At 37.1% G+C, this 22,890-nt stretch overlaps 2 pseudogenes across 1 annotated transcript in view; both read right to left on the bottom strand.

Annotated features, from left to right (window-relative positions):
- Positions 1-22,466, bottom strand: part of ANKRD20A8P (ankyrin repeat domain 20 family member A8, pseudogene) — a 96,148-nt pseudogene extending 73,682 nt beyond the window's left edge. The window contains exons 1-6 of the transcript NR_003366.2: positions 22,358-22,466; positions 18,929-19,043; positions 18,593-18,766; positions 14,592-14,698; positions 13,408-13,545; positions 10,756-10,826 (exon numbers count right to left, since the gene is read on the bottom strand). The product of NR_003366.2 is annotated as an ankyrin repeat domain 20 family member A8, pseudogene (transcript). The remainder of the gene's footprint in view (positions 1-10,755; positions 10,827-13,407; positions 13,546-14,591; positions 14,699-18,592; positions 18,767-18,928; positions 19,044-22,357) is intronic.
- Positions 11,924-12,030, bottom strand: RNU6-1320P (RNA, U6 small nuclear 1320, pseudogene; annotated as a pseudogene).
- Positions 22,467-22,890: the final 424 nt, after the last annotated feature.

A 22,890-nucleotide genomic window follows, 5' to 3' on the forward strand; every position in this document is an offset into this window, starting at 1 on the left:
TGGAAGAATGTATTCTAGGTACTCCAGGATACACACAAATATGTTTACTGACCTCCAGTAGCTTATGGTATGCAGGAGCTTCCAATGATTATTTAAACAACTAAATAGAAAACCTTCTGAAATTCAAAATTTCAGAATATGATATGAGGACTTTGAGTGGTTATTTTATTTCTTAAGATGTAGTCTTGCTCTGTCACCCAGGCTGGAGTGCAATGGTGTGATCTTGGCTCACTGCAACCTCTGCCTCCCGGGTTCAAGCGATTCTCCCACCTTGGCCTCCTGAGCAGCTGGGATTACAGGTATGCACCATCACGCCTGGTTAATTTTTCTGCTTTTGTTTTGTTTTGTTTTGTTTTTGGTTTTTTTTAGAGACAGGGTTTCACCATGTTGGCCAGGCTGATCTTGAACTCCTGAACTCAGGTGATCTACCGACCTCCTGAACTCAGGTGATCTACCGACCTCGGCCTCCAAAACTGCTGGGATTACAGGTGAGTCTCCACACCTGGTGAAATAAATATTTTAAATAAACTACAATGACAAAATTATGATGATAAAGTCTTACCATCCATTGGTATTAAGAGTCTCTGCTTCTAGAACTGGTTATTTGCAGCAAAATACATGTTATTCAATTAGATGAAGTGCCTTATATAAACTCTTCATGGACAACTCATAAACCACACAAAAATTCCTTTGCAATACACATTTTGAGAACATAAATTTAAATTTCTATATTTCCACAATTTATATTTTTAAATCAGATACGATGTTGCCCAGGCTGTTCTCAAACTCCTGGGTTCAAGCAATCTTCCTGCCTCAAATTCCCAAGTAGCAGGGACTACAGGTGTACACCACCACACTCAGTTATTTTTCTACAATTTTTAATTTTTTTTGTCTCACTACAGAACCAATAATATAAGTAGAAAAACAATCTCTCATAAAAACAATAGGATACCAAAATAATAAGTTTCCAAGATCAAAAGCTATATGCTATGTGCTGAATATTTTTGCCACTAAAAATCACCAGGAGGATCCCATGATTACTGCAAATAATTTGATCCACTGAAGATTTATACAGGCATAAATATTAAGAAAGTCACACTCGTATGATTTAAAAGTCAAAGTATTAGTATTTATCCAAATAAACCTTAACCAAATTTCACATTTCCTCTATTGGAGAAAGCATTTCCTAATGTGATTTTCCTGTCACTACTAATTTTCCAATTCATTTTTTTTCAGCTCCCACCCTGTCACAGTACTTATCAATCTTTGTTAGTTACCAAAGTTAAACACATTTTTTGAATCAACTAGCCATATGTATGTTTTTCTCTGACCAACTTTCCATTACCACCATAAAACAATGATAGGTAAACCACTGCTAAACTTGAAAAGTAAATACTCTGCAAAAGTACATTCAGAGTGAGAAAATTAATTTTACAAGAGACCACTTTACCTTAGTAGCAACACTCAAGTCTTTGTCATCCGATGCAGGCAATGAATCCACACGCAGTTCATGGAAAATGCTTGAGAGCGAAAATACACAACGAAAATGAGCAAGTTGATTTCTTTACAATTTTTTTAACTGCCAGTTTATATCCAGCTTCCCCCTCAAAAAAGGAAACCATAATCTTGGGAAAGGTCAGCAATCTATATATTAAATAGTGATTCTTGATATAATTAAAATATGTCCTCTGTTCTAAAAATAGATTTTAGTTACCTATTTCTGCCTCCACCTGTCTAAATCTATAAAATATTCAATGAAAACTAACTTTGAGCTTTATAACAAATAGTGACAGTCAATAAATTGGCAGAGCCTGACAATGATTTGCCCTCACAAATTATCTGTCCTGAAGCTAAACTTAAAATTCAATTAATGGATGACATAAATTTTGTTACCTAAACTGGAAGAAAACTGATGACCTAAAACAAGGTAGAAAGATCCACTGTCTCTTTTCCATGATCTGTCTCTGGATAAAAGACTAATCTGCATCACTTCAGAATGGCAGTCTTGATTCCTCAGCATGGAACCCACTTAGGAAGGTCCTATTGCTTTCCTTTGCCCTAAATCAGTACAGGAAAGCCCCTACAATATTTGAAATGTATGAAAGCTAAATGTACAGAAGTCAAATAACAAAGGTGTATGTTCTTATTGAGAATACTTTTCCCAGAAAGATTGAAATATTAACAATTATAAAATCCCATTATTTTCACCCTATAGGTCCTACCTTATTCAGGTCCACATAAACTAGCAAGCCCTTAAAACTCTTCATAGGCACTCAGACACCCAAGGAGAGAGACTGCCAGAAAAAAACAGAGTCCTGGTAGTTGCACCTCTATTTCCCTAAGTACTCTCTAAGTATCTGTCTTCCTATGGGCTCCCACTTCCAGATTCCACTTCTGCAGGGCTCCACAGAAGTCTTCAATCTTTAAATCTTCAGTCTATGAAAGCACAGATTCCTGAAAGGATGGCCTCAAATGACCAGGAGTAGGAGCTCTCTATATCCCTGCTCCTGAAAAACAAGCTAACTGGAGTCTCCATCACCTGCCCCCAGCTAGACACACTACCAACTACCCAACTGAACTCCATGACTGATTTGCCAGCCAGTCATGCCCCTGACCCAGCCCACATGGACATGGGAAGGACATCAGTGAATCGGGAAAAGAGGCAGAGGTGAGGAGACACTTGTACTGGGCCACAGATCTATGTAGTTCAGCAATCTCCAGCCCCTCACTACTCCAGGGGCTCTAAGCCACCCCTTTGTAAGTCAGGATGGAAATAGATGACACCACATTTCTATCTGCTGCAGACGCTCCTCCCAGTGTCTCAAAATGTTTTAGCATCTTTCAGTAAAAATCTTCAAGTTTGTCAGTCCTTGATTTAAAAAAAAGCAGCAAACTTTTTAGAGCTCCCTTGAACCTTCTATTTTAATATGCCTTTGTAGATAATTCCCAACATCTTGTGTCCTTCATTTTTATAATTTATCTTTATCAAACTTGTCATAAACCCCAATATTTTGATCTCTTATAGAAGAGTCTGTACTCCTATCCAATCCAGTGTTGTTTATCTTCAAACTTGGACTTCCCCTGCTCATTCCATTCTTATCTACTTCCATTGGGTTCACCAGCTAATTCCATTCTCATTCTACCCACAGACTCACTCCCGTTTGTATTATTAAAACACACGCCAATAGGATATAAAAAGAAGCAAGAGTACTGGGCTTTAACATGAGTTCAAATCTCATTTCTGCCAATTCCTATGTCTAAAAAAAAGCATCCTAATCTCTTTGAGCCTCACATTCTCTATCTAGAGAATCATTTGACCAGAATGTTCAACACAGGTAAAAATACTAGAAGGTATTTTAATTCATTCCAAGATTCCTTAAAATTCTGTAATTCTATGTCCTCTTGATACTATCTATAGAAAAACTTAGAATACATAGCTAGCAGAGTTTGAAAAAATAATAGAACAAAAGAAATACCAAGAAAAGCAGAGAAGAAAGTTTTAAAAAATGCAGACAAGATTATAGAAAAGTCATGGAAAAAGCAACAAGACTAAAAAATGTATTATGGAAGTAAGCAGAAATACTTGCCTAAATGGAAAACCAAACTGGGAAGTCAAATAATTTGTCTCTAAGACTTGCCTAAACTTGCTTTTGTAAAACTTACACCCCTATGGCCAAAGCTAAGTAAGATCTGCCCTAGAGCCTTTGATGGTAAAAATAAGATACTGGTTACCACTGAAATTGTCAAATTTATTAGGACAAACTCTTGGACTAACCACATTCTAATGATAAATGAGAGTTCAAGGTATTTAAACTCTCATTAATTTAGACATTAATCAAATTAATGAATCTGACTAATCTGATTCAGACCTATACCTTGATCCAAGGGCTGCACAGATATCTGTCAATCTATGCTGAGGAGCAAGAGACAGAATTTGGAAGGTAGGCAGGCTGATGGTCAAACTGTAGGCCAGCTACTTTGTTAACTATGGGATCATGAGGCAATTAATCAGCTCTAATCCATAGTTGTTTATTTAATAAACAGCAGGTTATAGGAAGACAGATGTTGTGATGGCTTTATGAGATGATAAATGCATAGAACATATTAGGATGTCTAGCCCACAATACAACACTCAACAGATATTCGTTTCTTCCATCTATATTTTCTTAGTTAACATAATTTTTTAAATCTATAAAATCCTACCTGACTGCAGATTCATCAGAACTTCCAACATCTATTAAAGAAAAAGGTAAAACGCACTTTAAATCAATAATAAATGTACAGAATATTAAAAGCATAAGTATGCACAGTGATGCATCCCTCTAATCCAAACTACTTGGGAGGCTGAGGCAGGAGGATCACTTGAGGAGCCCAGAAGTTTGAGACCAGCTTGGGAAACATAGTAAGACTCTACCTTCATAAAAAAATTGTGCACACTTGTATGTATGCTTTAGATCCTGTTTTTTGTTGTTGTTGTTTTGGTTTGGTTTGGTTTTTTAAAGCATAAGACTGATGCTTTGTTACAAAGCATTCCTTTGGGAGCATGCCTGGGACCTTATTAGAATTAACATTCGTTATACATATTGGTAGGTAGTTAATGCAGTAAGAACTCTTCCCTTTGTATTTATTAGATGCAAAGAAGAATAAATTTATTAAAATTTGGTATCTACAAGTGAACTGAAGTATGCAAGTCATCCTAGCCAAACCCTGTGAGATCGAGTAAAAATGGTATTGTTAGCAGAACAGGTGTGATGAGTCAAAAGTGTCAAAGAGCATGATTTCTGGACCACAATATGAGGTGCCATTAAAACAGAGTATACAGTAGTATCCCTTATCCACTATATGTGCAGAAAGACACACTTGACACGTTTTTCTCTGCTGTCACACCACAGCAACAATCATCAACAAAGAAGGCTTCTGTGACCAAATATGTGGAGGGTTTTTCCCCACCAACAAGCAAGCAATCATTCCTGCTGATGACACAATTCAATTCTCACACCCTATCTGCTGGTAACATCAGATTCAATTTAATTTATAAATTAAACTTTAGCATAGATATGTATGTATAGGGAAAAACAGTTTGTGATTCAGTACTATTCATGGTTTCATGCATCCACTGGGGGTCTCGGAATGTATCTCCCACAGTTAAGGGGGAGCTACTGCACTTATTTTGTTATAACACAACACAGCCTCTCTAGCTCTTCAGTTCAAACTGCTCAGTTTAGAATAAAACACCCTATCACCAGAAGTCAGCAAAACATAGGAATCAGACCAGAAACAGGAATCCTTGCAAAGACTTTCCAGCTGCTACTGGAAAAGAGCTCAAAAGAGATCAATGTATTACTCTGGCTACTACTCTTTGGGGACGGTGCTGGGTGGTTTACTTAGTTGTAGCTATTTGCTCTGCCCTACATATAGCAAGGCCCAAATTCACCTGCCATTTTACCTCCCACAGAAAAACCGCTGGAAATATCACTCCTTTAAGAGCTTATCCGCTAGGAACCACACCTCACATTCAGAGAGAAGCTGAAGAAACACCAGGGAGGTGTGGCAGGCTGCTGGGCAGTACTATATGATGTGAAAAATATATAGAAAGAAAACCATCAATGCCCTTTTACTACCAGAATGTTCCAGTGCTTGCCCTTCTCCCTAGTAGGGGAAAAAAATTCTTTTTCACCTCACAGAAAGCAAAACTCTCTTGCAATCCCTCATGACAGAATCTAGTTGTAAGTGAGTCACATCATCATAATACAGGCTGTTATCAACCCCATCAGTCAAAGGAAGAGGATCAGTGAGGAACATATGTATTTACCTATAGCATTCACTGCCTGGTCTTATTTCCAACCGAAGGTAAGTATGAAAGACTTTGTGATTCCAGTTTTATAAAGTACAACCCCTTGCACTTGTCCCCTTCCATTACTAGAGAGTCTATCTGGACCCACCTCACAGAGCAAGATGCTCCAGTTTGTGCTGTGTGGTACAGCACGGTGTCCTTTTCCTCAACCCTTTCTATTATGTGCCACATATCTATACAAATCACGTTTTCTAAGTATGTAAAGCATATGTCATCAGAATATATCATTCTTTACAATGATAAAGAAGCAAAAGGAAAACAAAAGGACAAAGAACATCTTAAATGACTACATTCAACTGCCACGGAGCTTTAATTTTTTAACTATTCAAAAAGATATCCACTGTATTATTCCAACTATGTGACTCTTCTGAAAAAAGTGAAACTATGAAGACAGAGTAAACATCAATGGTTGCCACGAGTTGCTAGGGAGAAAGGGAGAGATGAACACGCATAGCATAGAGAACTTTTAGGGCTGTGAAACTGTTCTGTCGATAATATTACAGTAATAGATACATGTCATGTCATTATACATTTGTCCAAATTCACAGAATGTACAGCATCAAGAGTGAAGCCTGATGTAAACTATGAACTTTGAATGATTATAATGTGTCAATGTAAGTTCATCAGTTCTAACAAATGTACCACTCTCTGGTGGAAAATAGTAATAATGGGGGAGCCTATGCGTGTGTGGGAGGCATGGGATATATGAGAAATCTCTGTACCTTCCTCTCAATTTTGCTGTGAACCTAAAACTGCTCTAAGAAATAAGGTTATTGATTTAAAAAAGATATTCAGCTGGGCTCAGTGGCTCATGCCTGTAATCTCAGCACTTTGGGAGGCAAAGGTGGGTGGATCACCTGAGGTCAGGAGTTCAAGACCGGCCTGGCCAACATGGCAAAACTTCATCTCTAATAAAAAATACAAAAATTAGTTGGGCATGGTGGCTGGCACCTGTAATTTCAGCTACTCAGGAGGCTGAGGCAGGAGAATCACTTGCGCCTAGAAGGCGGAGGTTGCAGTTAACTGAGATCGCACCACTGCACTGCAGCCTGGGAGACAGAGTGAGACTCCATCTCAAAAAACAAAAAAGATATTCACTGTCTATGCATCCCAGGATCTCCAGAACAACAATTAAAATAAATAAATAAATGGCTGGGGGCAGTGGCTCATGCCTGTAATCCCAGCACTTTGAGAGGCCGAGGTAGGTGGATCACCTGAGGTCAGGAGTTCGAGACCAGCCTGACTAACATGGTGAAACCCCATCTCTACTAAATACAAAAAATTAGCCAGGCATGATTGTGCATGCCTGTAGTTCCAGGTACCTGGGAGGCTGAGGCAGGAGAATCATTTGAAACTGGGAGGTGGAGGTTGCAATGAGCCAAGATTGTGTCATTGCACTGCAGCCTGGGCAACAAGAGCAAAACTCCGTCTCAAAAAAAATAAGTAAATAAAATAAAAAATAAAGATATTCACTGAACCTGTTACTATGATATATTTAAGCAAGACACGGTGTCCCTAAAAATTAGAGATCATTGAAGACCAAAGTAACAACATGTGGTCATTACTTCTCAAATTGAGCTATATAAAATATATAAAATAAATAAATTTAATTGCATGCTTAGGTAAGAAAATATTGATAAAAATAATTGAATATTTTATCTTATTTCATAATTCTAAACAGGGATTTAGCACAATATGAAAACTAGACTATTCATGTAATCAAAATAAAAGACAATTTTTATTCTAATTTTAACTCAGAAATTATTTTGCTCATTTAATTTAACAATTTTACTGAAAGGTTAATGAGATAAATAGGACAGATTATAATTACCTAACATTGCTATGGTAACTTATATACAAATAGCTGTTCATCACCAAAAGCCAAAAAAGTAACCAGCACTGCAACTTAAGATGGATCATACAACAGAAATTAGTACCAAGTTACCTTATCTTATAATATTATGTTATTAAAATGAAATTTTAAAACAACACCAAAAATTAAGTTGGGGTTACAAGTGTTGTGCAGAAAAGATTTCATATAGCAGGCAAGAGGCTGCCATCCATCCTTAGAAAGGCCTGCATGCAAGGCTGGCCCTTGGCTGGTGTTTAGGAAATTGGAAATGGGAGGGTTTCCACCATTCCCTGAGAAGAATGGCTCACTGTGTCTAAAGTGCTTATAGAAACAGTGTATTTACTCTAAACAGCTGCTTTCCTTGTAAGAGTCTGGAATTTCGGTACATGTGAGGGAGAGTAACCTCCATAGAAAAACTTGGGCACTTAGTCTCTAATGAGACTCTGCTACTGGTAGACATCACTGCACATATGTTGTCAAAATGTGAGCCTGGGAGAATTAAGCAGATCCCGGGAACTCCACAGGACAGAACTCCTGGAGGCTTGTGCCTTGTTTCCTCCAGAATTGACCACATGCACCTTTTTTCTCTACTAATTTTGCTTGTCCCCTTCCTTGTTATCAATTAAAGATCTGAGTATGACTATTTGCTGAGTCCTGTGAGTCCTTCTAATGAACCACCAAACCTGGGGTGGTCTTGGGAAACCTTGACACAAATTCATTGTGTAAGATTTGTATTAAGTTGATATGATACATGTAACTGTAATCAGATGGTTATTTCACAGAATAACTTTCCCTAATCTGTTTTTCTTTTCTTTTTTTGCCTTGATATTTGACTTGGAGATTCTTGTATTTCTATATCTATCCAATTGAATAAAGCCATAGAAGGAATAAATGAAAAAATAATGTCAGAAAATAATGTGAAATAAGCAGCAATCCTCTTTTATCCGAATAAAAAATAGAGAATCTGGGTGATTGACAATATGTTCTACAATATGAATGTTTCTAGAAACAAAAATGAAAAAGTGGTCAATTTTCTGCAACTAAACTGGGCTTCATTCCTTTTTATAATAATTTTGAAGGCCAAGTGCAGTGGCTCACACTTGTAAATCCAAGCATTTTGGGAGGTTGAGGCAGGAGGATCACTTGAGCCCAGAAGTTCCAGACCAGCCTCGGCAATATAGTGAGACCTCATCTATTAAACAAACAAACAAACAAACAAAAAAACCCTTAAAAAGAAAATTAGCCAAGTGTGGTAGTGCATGCCTGTAGTCCCAGCTACTTGGGAGGCTAAGGTGAAAGGATCATTTAAGGCCAGCAAGCAGAAGTTGCAGTGAGCCAAGATGGCACCACTGCACACCAGTACTGACAACAGAGGGAGACCCTGTATTAAAAATAAATAAACAAATAAATAATTGTGTATCAGGCCAGATGTAACCACACAAAACTGTAGTCCCAGCTACTCAGGAGGATGAGGTAGGAGGACTGCTTGAGCCCAGGAGTTCAAGGCTACAGTCAGCTATGATTGCACCAATGAATAGACACTGTATTCTAGCCTAGGCAACATAGAGAGACCCCATCTACTATGATAATAATAATTGATTAATTGTGCATCATTCAAGTAAATTGTATAACTGGAGAAAAACATATGACTATTGAATATACTATTATAGTCTACTACAGACCATAGAGTTCCTGTTTACTTGCTTCTAATCTTTTTCTTCATTTCTCATAAAACTAAAAACATGATTTAAACCCATTAAAGGCAGTTCATCACAAAACAAGTCAAAAAGTCAAAAGAATTGCATCCAAACAGTAGGATGCATTATCCACCGCTCTCTGTGAACAGTTGGATTTGGTCATTAAGAATCAGCAGGACTTTTAACTTTGTGTCTGTGTGCACAGGTGTGTGCACATGTGCATGTGTGTATGTGTACGTATGTAAACTATGACAGATAAAATCATTTTGCTTGTGTACGAATATGTAATATAACTTGTGCTTCTCACAAAGGAATTGCTTTTCCATCTTCTGTGCTCAGTAGCTATCTTCAAAAAATAATCTCCTATTTGTATGGGTGCACACTGGTTCAGTTCTACAGTTCTTATTGCCATTTATTTACGGTACCAGAAAGGGATTGCTGAGTTCCCGGTTCTAAAGATAGTTACTTTCTTAGTGACACAAATCAATATGTAATACAGTTCACCCTTGAACAGCAAGGGTTTCAACTGCAGGGATTCACTTATATGCAGATTTTCTTCTGCCTCTGCAACAGAGAGACAGCAAGATCCACCTCTCCTCTTCCTCCTCAGCCTAATCAACCTGAAGATCATGAAGACCTTTGTCAGGACTACTTATGCTTTATGAAAAGTCAATATGTTTTTCCTGATGATTTCCTTTCTAACAGCTTCATTTCTCTAGCTTATTTTATTGTACGAACACAGTATATAATAATGCAGCACAAACAAAATAGGTGTTCATCAACTGTTTATGTTATCAGGAAGGCTTCCAGTCAATTGTGGGCTATTAGTAGCTAAGGTGAAGGAATCAAAAGTTATACTCAGATTTTCAACTGCACAGGGATCAGAGTCCCTCACCCCCACATTATTCATGGGTCAACTGTAGTTATTTATTTACTAAATATAAACAATTTATTATAAAAATGAAATCGAAGATCCATTTGTATAACAAGTCCAATTTGGTATAATGTGACTATAGAGGAAACATACAACATACTAACTTAAAAATCTTTTTTCTTATTTATGCAAAAATATTATATAGGATTTTAGGGATCATAATTAAATAAATGAATGTTTTCAGACAATAATGTTTGAGATTATAAATTAGCTACAACTACCTTCTTAAATAAATCTGAATTTCAAACTAAACAAGTTAAATTTTAAAAATTAATTTACATATGTATATACATATATACACTTTCAATTTACACATATTTTTAAACTGGTCTTTTTTGACTGAAACTACCTTAATCTTACATCTTACTTTGTACTTTCTTATCAAGAGTAGGACCACCAAGAGAAGTAAGAAATTCACAATCAGAAGTCTTACCTGATTTCTCCTTTTTAAGTATCTTCTGTTTATGTTCCAAAATTTGTTGTTGAATTCTACGTATACAAAAGTAATAAATAAAATTGCTATTTTTATACTGAAATAAAAAATATTTACCAAACATATTAAATTCCAAAACCCTTTCAGGCAATATCAGACCTAATATCAGAATTTTAATGTCCCATACACTTCAAATTTGTAAACCTTACAAGCTTATTAAGCTTATAATTAAAGAAGAAAAGAAAGTGAAGTACTCATAAATGGAGGAAGCACAGCTCAGTAAATGAACTCTAGTTAGCTGGATATCATGCAAAGTGTCCTGCACTCAGAGTAAGTCCTCGCTCTGTAACCAAAATACCTCGCTCTGTAGGTATTTTGTCTTCAGACAAGTTGCTTCTCTTAGGCTTCTTCTAAAAAATAAGGATTCTGCTACCTTACTTCACTAAGTTGTTTGGAAGATGTAATGAGATTACATGTTTAAATGTTCAGAGAAATAGTAAAGCAATGGAATAATTTATTCTTGAACTTTATTGCTGAAACCATTTTGGAATCCCAAATAATGCTCGGTGTGTGTTTTTCTGTAAGTTCTAATATTCAAATGTTGCAGTTTTCAGAAAATGTTATTAAGTGCTAATTTTGGTTATTACTTGTATTCATTGTGGCTTGTAATTCAGGGCATTTTACCTAATTCATAACTTATTACTAAATTTATATATATATATAAATTTAGTGAGCTCATCACTGAGCTCATCAATCACACCAAGGGCAGAAAACTAATAGGTGTCAAAACCTGGCTTGGACAACTACCACTCCTTCTCTACCTCCCCAAACTCTGAGCCAGCAGATCTGTGCTTGGCTGCTGGATCTCCATGGTCCTCTCCAACTAACAGACAAGACAAAACCCTGCTTTGATTGTTTTTCAGTTCCATGAAGGAAATGCAAGTTGACATTTTCTCATTTCCAAGACATGTACTAACAACATGTAACATCCCCTTATTACTCAGCTCTGTTCCCATTTCAGAGATCACCATACATCAATAGTTTCATAGCGATAATCACAATTTCAATATTGCGTGTCACCTGTTTTGGTTTTGCTCACACTGCTTCCTTGGAGCTACTCAACAAATAGTCAAATGGCCTTCCTGGGACTATGTAAAATATGGAATGTTTTCTGAATTTGTGTGCCATCCCTAGGCAGTAGCCATGCTTATCTGCTCTGTATTGATCCAATTTTAAAATATGTGCTGTTGAAATAAGTACAAAGCCCTGTTTGATACATGGATACTCATGAGTCATGGATGAGGCTTAGCTCTATTAAATCCAACTCACTTACTTCAGATTCAGAGAATTTTATTGAATGGCTTCCTGTGAGGTAGAATTTTAAAATATATTTAAAACTTGAGGAAGAGCTGCAAGTAGCCCAGGAGATTTTCATGATTATAGAGACACATTACTTGAGGGGCCAACTGCAAGCTGGTTCCCACTACTCAGTGGAAAGATAACATGGAACATTCCGCTATCTAACCAAAGCTGCTGCACAGGATATAAAAAAGCCTCAAGGTACAGATCTGATAGCAAAAGAGACAGGGAACTCTGATCTCTTCCTGCAACATTATTTGAACATCCCTGACTATTGAGAACAATCCCAACTAATATTGGTTAAAGGAAAGACAAACATGGCTCTCAAAGGATAACATACCATGAAGGCCTAGGCAAAGTCTAGCTAAGACGTGGGCTCCAAATAAGGTTTTTAGTGTACGGTGAGCATCAACTTGCTCAATACTTGTGTGGATAAAGCTAGGAGGCCTAGCTGCCAGAGCAGGGTGCTGGGAACAATGACCGAGCACAAGTACATAAACTAATAAACACCGTAGCTTTGACCTCTATATATGAATCACCATGAAAACTGAGGGGTCTGAATCAGTGAAGGCATCCTGGTGGCAAAGGTCAATCATTATCAGATTGCAGGACCGGTTATAATGGCAATAATACAGCAAGTGAGTCCATGGAAACAACAGAATGATCAGAATGGCCTTTTTTCCCCTTCTTCTGACTTGTGAAGAAAGATTGCCTTCCTTGGACTTAGGAAACCCCTTAGCTTCTTGGAAAATTCAAAGAAGGAAGACACAGGAGAGAGCCCCAGGGGACAAGATTTTCTGTTAAACTGGACATTACAAGACTCAATAACTAATTAGAAAAGTCAGGCCAGGCATGGTGGCTAGCACTTTCAGAGGCCGAGGCAGGGGGATTACTTGACCTCAAAAGTTCAAGACCAGCCAGGGCAACAGAGTGAGACCTTGTCTCTACAAAAAAAAAAAAAAAAAAAGGAAAGGAAAGGAAAAGAAATCAAAGACATGGCTCCTTTTATCCCATGCATGGGGATTATACTTAGAATAAAATGAATAACATTGAGATCCCTAGGGATAAAGGTCTCAAAAATCCAGAAAAAATCTTGCACTCTACTTCTAACTAATCTAGACTTCTGCTTGATTTCTGGCTAAAAGGCAGACTAACTCTTCGCTATTTCAAACTATCTGAACCAAACTGTGAACTCTCACCTAATGTATAAGATGGAGTAGTTGCAATTATTTTAAACTTCAATTTAGCATTAACTGGCCTTTTAACATAAACACTTACTTTGTCAAATGATGAGAAATAGCGTAATCTTCTGCATCTCGTCCACACATGTCTTGAGCGAAGACATCAATATTTTGCTTAAGAAGGATACTGACAATACCTGGTGAGTCATAGTATACAGCAAGCATGAGAGCTGACCTAAAATAACAAAGAAATAACTCCACTCAAGAACTTTAATAAAGACTTTTTTAAAAAGCTAGTTTGATACACTTTACCAATTTAATATCCGCCTGTCAGTGTAGATGTAATAACCATTTGCATGTACTAGCTTGGGTCTATAAGCATCTAGGGTGCTCAAGTGTTCATCTTTGTAAATTGTCACCAAGGCTAAAAGAAAGGGACAACAGGGAAGCCTCTTGTCCCACTGGGGTAAGACATAATACAAGTTGCTAACTTATAGTCCTTCGATGGCCAAGAAACTGTGCTGAGGTCACTTATCTAAAGTAGGCAAAGACTTAGATGAAGATTTCCCCATTGCTTTCCTAGTCAAATCAGCTAGGGGTCAGATAAGAGTTATCTGCAGGCTGAAAACAACAACAACAACAATAATAATAATGACAATGCTAGTAGTCATAAACTAAAAGTCCACACTTTAAAAATGAATAAAACTTGTCAGGTGCAGTGTCTCATACCTGTAATCCCAGCACTTTGGGAAGCCAAGGAGAGCAGATCACGAGGTCAAGAGATCGAGACCATCCTGGCCAACATGGTGAAATCCCATCTCTACTAAAAATACAAAAATTAGCTGGGCATGGTGGCGTGCACCTGTAGTCCCAGCTACTTGGGAGGCTGAGGCAGGAGAATCGCTTGAACCTGGGAGGTGGAGAATGCAGTGAGCTGAGATCACACCACGGCACTCCAGCCTGGCAACAGAGCAAGACTCCATCTCAAAAAAAAAAAAAATTAATAAAACTAATACAAAACCCTTTAGCTAATAAAAGATTACAGTACCAAAAACATCTGATTATAAATACCAAACACTGTATATTATAAGAGAAGATGAATCCTACTATGTACTATTCTTTATGTTACTCAGTCCAAATATTTGCTGGTCTATCTGATTATTCATGGTGATATTTTTCATTATATGCCAATAATTATGTTAATCTTCTTATTAATATTTCTGACTTGAGTGACCACTCTAGAATACTCAGGTTTTATTTTTAAAAAAAGAACTACTGTACCGTCTCAGCCTATCAACGGCATGTGTACTTGCTTTCTTTTTCAATAAAAATTCCACCATTTTCTCTTTCTTGCAAATTATAGCGAATAAAAGTGGGGTATTACTGTCCTACAAAACAGCAGAAAAAAATTAATAATTCACAAAATTACATATTTCTCAACTGAACTGAAAGTCTTCTCTAGGATGCTTTGAACTTCAACATACAATATAGAAAGGAAGTAAATGAAAAGCAGTCCCTTCCTTCTCACTCCTCTGTGCTTTCTGATGTGCTGCGCTCTGCCTTGCAAACAACCCTCCTCTGTCTCCCCGGATTAACTGTGGTGATTGCCAAAACTCACTTTAAACATTTACCAGTCCCAAGAATCCTTGCTTTGATCACAGCACTTAGCATGGTACATTGTAGTCATTTCACTGTTTCCCACTGAAACCAAGAGCTTCTTGAGGCAAGGGCCTAAAACCCTAAGACACAGTAGCAAATATTTTAAGTTTTTTACATAAATTAATGATCTAAATTACTATCTCTAAAGCAGTGTTTCTTAAACTATATTCCAAAGAATATTTGCTTTATCAGAAGTATTATACCCCAAGAGAAAGACTCCATGACCATCTGTATTTGAGAAGTATTACAAAACTGTATTTTATGTCCAATAATCAAGAAATCTCTTTAATTTTACCTAATCCCCCTTTGACAATACTATTTGTGGCAAACATTAACATTTGAGGAATTAAGAGTTTCAGAGATACAGTTGCCAGAGCTTCCCAATACAGGTGGCGGTTTCCTCTGGGTGGTACAAACTTGCTTGATTCACTTCTATCAATGGTGTCAGGATCCCAGATGCCAATGTCAGGCACTCCTGCTCCAAATGGGTCACCATGGAAATGAGCTTTGAATTAAGAGAGATTGCCTTCAAATGCATTTATTTTCCTTATTATTAAGTAGTCCATGGGTTTTTCCCCTAATACAAGAGAAGAGATTTTTATCTTTACTGTTAGAAAGCTCAGTATATTCTGTGTAAGAGAGATAGGTTTAAAAAACTTAAGAACAAATATTTTAAAAACCAAAACTCAGTAAGAAATACTATTCTCAATTATAATGGTAATCCCGGGACCCTAGTGCAGCTCTACTTTTTAAATCCATTTTTACTGGCTTCCACTTAAATGGCTACTTAAAATTATTTTTTATTTTAGACAAAATATAAATTGGAAATAAAAACATAATGGCTTATCAATAAAAGTTCTCATACTGATCCATATGGATTATTTCTGGCATTATACAAGCCAATAAGTCACTTGCATCTTTAAGGAAGAGCACTGAGGAGAAAGATGTACTGTCTGCAATATTCGTAAATTATCCAACTATAACCAGGAATAACCTAAAAAGGCTTCTAGGCATTCTTATGGGCAGAGAATTATTTGTGGTATATATAAAGAAAAGAGTTAAAAAATTCTAAACTCTAAAATTCAACTCCATAACTGAGGGATTTATATACTCTATAGACTATATATTATAAACAAATACATGCTGACTTAAAAACCTTGAAATTTTTATCAAAATATACTATAACATAGGAGTTGTAAACTCAGATACTTACAAGGACAAAGGAAGGTTGCCTGAGTAAGGGAAGTACTAAGGTGGGCACAGTAGCAAACTGGAGAATACCTGCCTTCTATAAAGGGGCAACTTCTGCACAGCAGACCAAAGAATGATAGAAACTCAGGGGACACCAGATTTGATTTTTTAGGATAAGCCTGAAGTCCACATTTCTTCACGAGTCTTCTAAATTTTACATGTTGATTCAACTTATAGAGGAAAACAAACAAATCTGTGTACCACATTAGAATATGGCCCTTGTGTTTTTATATTCGCCATTAATGTGTTACTAAATGGTTGTGTATAATCCAAGTATTTGCATGTAAAATATTTTCTTTCTCTGGTATCATATGTTCTACCAAAAAATCAGGCTCTCATATGTAATAAAAATTGCTAAAACGACTCACAATACCTGCTTCAAGAATTTTTCCAACATGTATTCATTTAAAATATGTTTGTATATAATTTTCCCAGATTGTTAACCAAATAGATAATTGGTTCACAAGACTGCTAAAACTAAATTATTAAAAGAATTCCTATCTATATTCTTAGTAACTTCATGGATTTCAGTGTTTAAAACTGACATTTTGGGTATGCTAAAGTTCTATAAACTTAAACATACTGAGATAGTTCATAATAAAACTTCAACTAAAAAAAAAAGTTTAGGATTTGCTACTATTCTAATTGAGAAAGCCCAACTTGTAATGAACATTTGTTGACACATAATCACCTGCGTGGTGACAAAGGGACATGAAATCATGAAAGGGTCAGCCTCTACCTATTGAAAGATTACCCATAAGCAAATTTCTGAAGACTCTCTGAATGGTAGTGAATGATTCATGGTGGGAAGGAAAACATGTTATTCTGTAAGCTGAGAGATATTGCCAATGATATTTCCTTTCACTTCCCAGTCACAGATGTAGAGAAAGACAGATAAGTCAGGCTAATATTATTGAAAAGGAGAACTTTGAAGGAAGTGGCAACTATCAAATGCCAACTCTTCTAGAGATTTCTTACATTTTTGAGATACAGAAATTTATATATTGCACTTATCTATTCTGGGGTTTTTAATCAAGAGTGTATCCCAACCTTGAAGGTTTTTTGTTATTTTGTGTGTGGTTTTTTTTTTTTTTTTTTTTTTGGCTATTATTGTTGTTAGAGACAAGAGTCTCACTATGTTGCTCAAGCTGGATTCAAACTCTTAGGCTCAAGCTGGGACTACAGGAATACACCACTTTGCCCAGCTTCAAGAAAACATTTTTAAACATGTTCAGGCCTTATTAGGTCTATTACATCAAAATCTTCAGGGGAAAGCCTACAATTGTAGATTTTTAACAAAATGTCCTCAGGTCACTGTAATGCACAATTCTGAGAATTAGTGCAGCAATCACTTCAGTCTCACCTCTCACCCACATGGCTAATTCCTTTATCAGTTGGAGATGTGGCCAAAAAGAGAAAAGAGTAAGAGAGAGTGTCATTTATTAAAACTCCAGTTAAGTTTCCTGGCTATGGGTAGAACAGGGACAAGTAAACTCAAAATCCCACTTGATTTTGCTATTTACAAGCTCCTTATCTCCCACCTTCCCACTAAGACATTCTAGATTTGAGAGGAGGCTTTAGGTTCTTATTTAAGTGGCTGTTTCTGCCAGGATGAGCAATAAGTCAGTTAATAATTTGTTCCACCTTCTGCTGAAGTGTTTCTCACTTCGTCACCACATATTCACTGCCAATCTAGTTTCCTCAGAGTCCTCCTAAAATTCGTCTCTAGGCAAGTTGCAACTCATTCTTTTTCAAACCAAAAATTATTAGACCCAAAGCTAAACAGCACCTTGTCTAAACACATAAAACAAACTTAAAAAAAAAAAAAAAAACCTCTTCCTGGCATTTCCCCTCATTATCTAATATCCAAGTGACCTGCATATTTCTGATTGCTCTCTTTCTCCCCTCCCATTTTTCCCTCTTAAGCCTTGCCACTGAGAGATAATACATCAGTTTTTCAGAAAATTAGCAGCAGCAGCAGCATGTCCACTTTTTCTAAGTTGCTTTAGTTTTGTTTGAGTTTTAAGATAAAGCCTATTTCCAGGGAATATTTTCTTTCCTGTGTTGTTTTACACTAATTAAGAAAAAAAAAAAAAAAAGAATAACCCTGTGTAGAAAAAAAGTTGAAAAGGTTTTACCTTTAACAAATTCACAAATATTTTCCAAAGTGCATTTTATAAAGCTGTGCCCTTTAATGCTTCTTTAAAAGTATCAATATTTAAAATAAAATCTTAGACAATTAAGTTATTTCAAAATAACTTAATTTGTATTTGCATTCAGGGAATGGTTGAGCTTCCACATATAAAAAATTGACCCTTACCTATGTCAATGTTAAAACAAATATTTTGGAAAGAAAGTTGATTGATCTATACCTTGTCCAGTGCTTCAATGTGTGCACCATGGGAAAGCAGTTTTTCTGCCAGTGAGGTGCTCTCACTATACACAGCATAATGGAGAGCAGTGTTGCCGTAGATATCCTTAAGGTTTGGATTGGCGCCATGTTTCAGCAGAATAACGGCACAAGCCTCTTCCTGGCAATGGACAGCCTGTCCGTGTTAGACCAAGAAACAGATTGTAAATTCCAAGAATTCAAAATACACATTCCACAGGTTTCACCAACTAGTTACATGTAAATGAGATCAATTTATTTTAATTCTATATATGTAAATCAAATCCATGTCATGCTGAAATAGTTGGCTCTAATATACCTGTATCAAAGGCGTTCTGTTTTCTTTGTCACAGATATCAATCTGGCATTTTCTGTTAACCAGGAGAGTGACCACTTGCACATGGCCACTGGCACAGGCCAAGTGTAGAGCAGTTCTACGAGAGTAAGAGGATTTTTTAAGAAACTGTAGTACAATATCTCAAAACATACAATCATTCATGTAACTGTAAAAATTGAATAGCATGTTTTTCCTCTGCCTTCAAAACAAATAATTTTTTTGAAGAAAGTACAATACTTACTAGCTCTTATTGCTCACTGCCTTAATGAAAACAGCAGCCTATTTGAGTAGAAAGAGCTCAGTCTTTGGATTCCGTTCAACTAGGGCTTGAGTCCTACTTTAAGCCTTGACACTTACCAACTATTGCTTAGCCTTTCTGTGCCTCAACTTCCTCATTAATAAAGATGACAATAGTAGCTATCTCATAGGACACCATCGTTATGCTTAAATGAGAAGCTATGTAAAGTATGTAGAACAGTTCCTACAACAACTCAATAATTCTAAGATTTTTGTTTTTTGAGACAAAGTCTCACTCTTTTGCCCAGGCTGGAGTGCAATGGTGTAACTATACCTGGAACTCCTGGGTCAAATGATCCTCCATCCCCAGCCTCCTGAGTAGCTGGGACTACAGATGAGCACCAGCATGCCCAGCTATTTATTTAAAAATTTTTGTAGAGTAAGAATCTCACTTTGTTGCCCAGGCTGGTCTCAAACTCCTGGCATCAAGCAATCCTCTCACCTCAGCCTCCCAAAGTTCTGGGATTACAGGTGTGAGCCACTGCACCCAGCCAGATATTATAATTATTACTATTACTACTAAACAAAACCATTTTAATTAGGTAGAATGATACAATTATACCTACTTTGCAGGATGACTTAACGAGTAGGTCACATTTTAACACCTCTGACATTGGAATGTCACTTATAATTCATGATTTGTTATAACTATAATTGGTAGCATTTTAAAAATTATCTTATTGATATATAAAATAGCGGGGCATCACGCAATCCATGAGACCTTACATTAAGTAGAATATGGTATACTCAGCAGGTCTAGGGCAGTTCTAAGCATGTAACTGAAACTTAAATACATTTTAGTTCTTAAAGGTACTATGGGGAAAGAGCACTGAAATAACAATAATGCATTTTTTAAACAAATTAATTCTTTGATTTTCAAACAACTTGAAGCCAAAGGAAACTCATGATTCAAATGAATACATATGGCTCATTGTATTCAATATTTATACTTAGAGAATATATGCAAATAAGACTTTCCAATGATTAATATTAGTATTTAAGACTGATAAACTTTCGAAAGAGCAGTTAAAGGTTATCTTCTATTTTCTAACTTCAGAAATGCTTTTGTTTGAAAGGTGGGAGATAAAGTTTCAAGGAGATTAAGTCCCAATATTCCTATTTTAAATCTCTCAGCTTGTGCAGGCGGGACAGGTAAACATGAAGTGTTTAAGGATGGACGGGTCCTGAGAGATGGTAGAATATGTCTGCTACATAGCAGGTACTCAGGTTACGCTTGATCCATAAATAGAATGAAAGAATGGATAAATACAGTTGGGGAGTTCAATATTTTTAAATAAACTCCTATAAAGCAATATTTTTGCAATAGTAATTATTTATATGTTATTTTATTTTTAAAGAATACAATTAAAATGAAATGATCAATCCAGCTTTGTTTGCATAAATGGAATGAGTATATAAGAAAAACATATGTACATAATAAAATATATAGATAATAAAATCTGGAAACAGATAAAAATATTCCCTTTTTACTTCTGAGGAGGCTAAAAGCTCAAAGAAGATAACAACACACACAATAATGATAAACAATAGAAAGTGAGAAATTATTTTCATCAGCACAAGATTCATATTCCTCTCTTCCCAAGGATTATTCCATTAATAATAAACTTTTACTAGAAGTTTTGTACATGCTCACTGCAGCAATCACAGATAAGAAAAAGGAAAAAAACTTTACTTAAAATACAAATGCTCAGAAATTACAAATTTTATATTTTGTACATATTTTTGCTAAAACAAGACCATAGTATGTGTATGTATAATTTAACTAATTTTTTTTCCTCGCTAGCTATAACAAAATACATCTTTGCACATCAACGTACTTCTGTATCTATTGCCACCTTCAGTGGTCACATATTATTCCATCCTATGGATGCAACTGAAATTTATTTATAGGATCCATTCTATGGGTTCTTTTTAAAGTAAGTACTGTGAAAAATAAAGTGCATGTCTCTTTATTTCCTAAGGGTATTTTAGTATAATGGAATTGGTGGGTAAAGGGCTTACACACTTTTTAAATGTAGTACTTACCATTTTCAAATGAGTACTTTGAAAAGTAATCAGCAACTTAAACTTTAAGCAGCAGTATAAAACATCCTCACAAATATTGTGGATAGAAAACTGTTTCATTCCTCTTTTAAATTCTTATACCAGAAATGCAAAGGATTTTTTCCTATGTATATAAATAACTTGTAGATCTGGAAAAAGGTACTTTGCCCACTTTTAGAGTGTTTGATGATTTGATTTGAAAGAATTCTCTGTAAAATGAAGATGTACTTTTCATCTCATGTGTATATATAACTGATATATATAACATATCTGTTATATATGTATACATATCAGTAATATATATATATATATATCTTACGATATATAATAAACAACATAGGCCAGGCGCGGTGGCTCACACCTGTAATCCCAGCGCTTTGGGAGGCGGAGGCAGGCAGATGACTTGAGGTCAGGAGTTCGAGACCAGCCTGGCCAACGTGGTGAAACTAAATATACAAAAATTAGCCAGGCATGCTGGCACCTGCCTGCAATCCCAGCTACTTGGGAGGCTGAGGTTGGAAAATTGCTTGAACCCGGCAGGCAGAGGTTGCAGTGAGCCAAGATTGTGCCATTGGACACCAGCCTGGGCAAAGAAGCGAGACTCCGACTCAAAAAAATATATATATATATAATGAATTCCCTATAAAATGAAAACATACTTTTCATCTGAAAAAATATATATATATAATATAGTAAATATTTTTCAAGTAAGCTCTCTTATCTGACAACTTTTCGCCCACTGAAATAACTCACGGTATTTTTGATAGGGGAACGAGTTCTCTCATTAGGCACCTCCTATAATGTATATAAACCATGTTTTAAAAGCGTACGTTAAAAATAACAACGCTGTATATGCTTAACTTTGTGAGTTAAATCACTCAAATTCTCCAACTGCTCCAGCCAGAGAATTATGAGGGATGGAAAACAGCTGAGAGTCCGTTTGGCTCCGCCGCTCCGAGGGTGCCCGGCGCCCTGCAAGGCCCCGTCCCAGGGTCTGCGGGGAAGCCGGGCCTGGGGACCCCCTCCCACCCCGGGCTGAGCCCCCGCTACCTGTGCTGCTTGTCCCGGGCGTCCAGGTCTCCGCTCCTGCGCGCCAGGCAGCGCTCCACCTCCGCGGCGTCGCCTTTGACAGCTGCCCTGTGGATCTTCTGCAATTCGGAGTCCCGGATTCGGTATCCGGAACCCGTGTAGACGTGGTCTATGGAGCCCTCGGCCGTCTGGCCCCTGCGGCTCCCGAAGCCGAATAACTTCATGGCGGTGACTACTTCTCAGACCCCCAACCACCGGCTCTTGAGCGGGGGCAGCTCCCTGTCACCTTTTCACCACCCCCCTCCCCCGACCCCGGCCGACCCAGCCCCAAATCGCCTATCCAACCCCAAAGCCCCGATCCAACCCCAAATCCGCTATTTCAAATCTATGATCTACTCCACAATCCGCGATCCAGCCCGGTCCACCACAGCCTTCAGCAGCGACACTGGCAGCCTCCGACCTCTCAGACCGAGTGAGCCTCGCAAAGCCGTTGGGCGCGCGCCTGCACCGCGGTTGCTGCCAGGCTCCCGGAAGACGCTCCCTGGCGGCGCGCG

This window comes from Homo sapiens, chromosome 2, assembly GCF_000001405.40.
Source record: "Homo sapiens chromosome 2, GRCh38.p14 Primary Assembly".
In the NCBI taxonomy this organism is placed as follows: domain Eukaryota; kingdom Metazoa; phylum Chordata; class Mammalia; order Primates; family Hominidae; genus Homo; species Homo sapiens.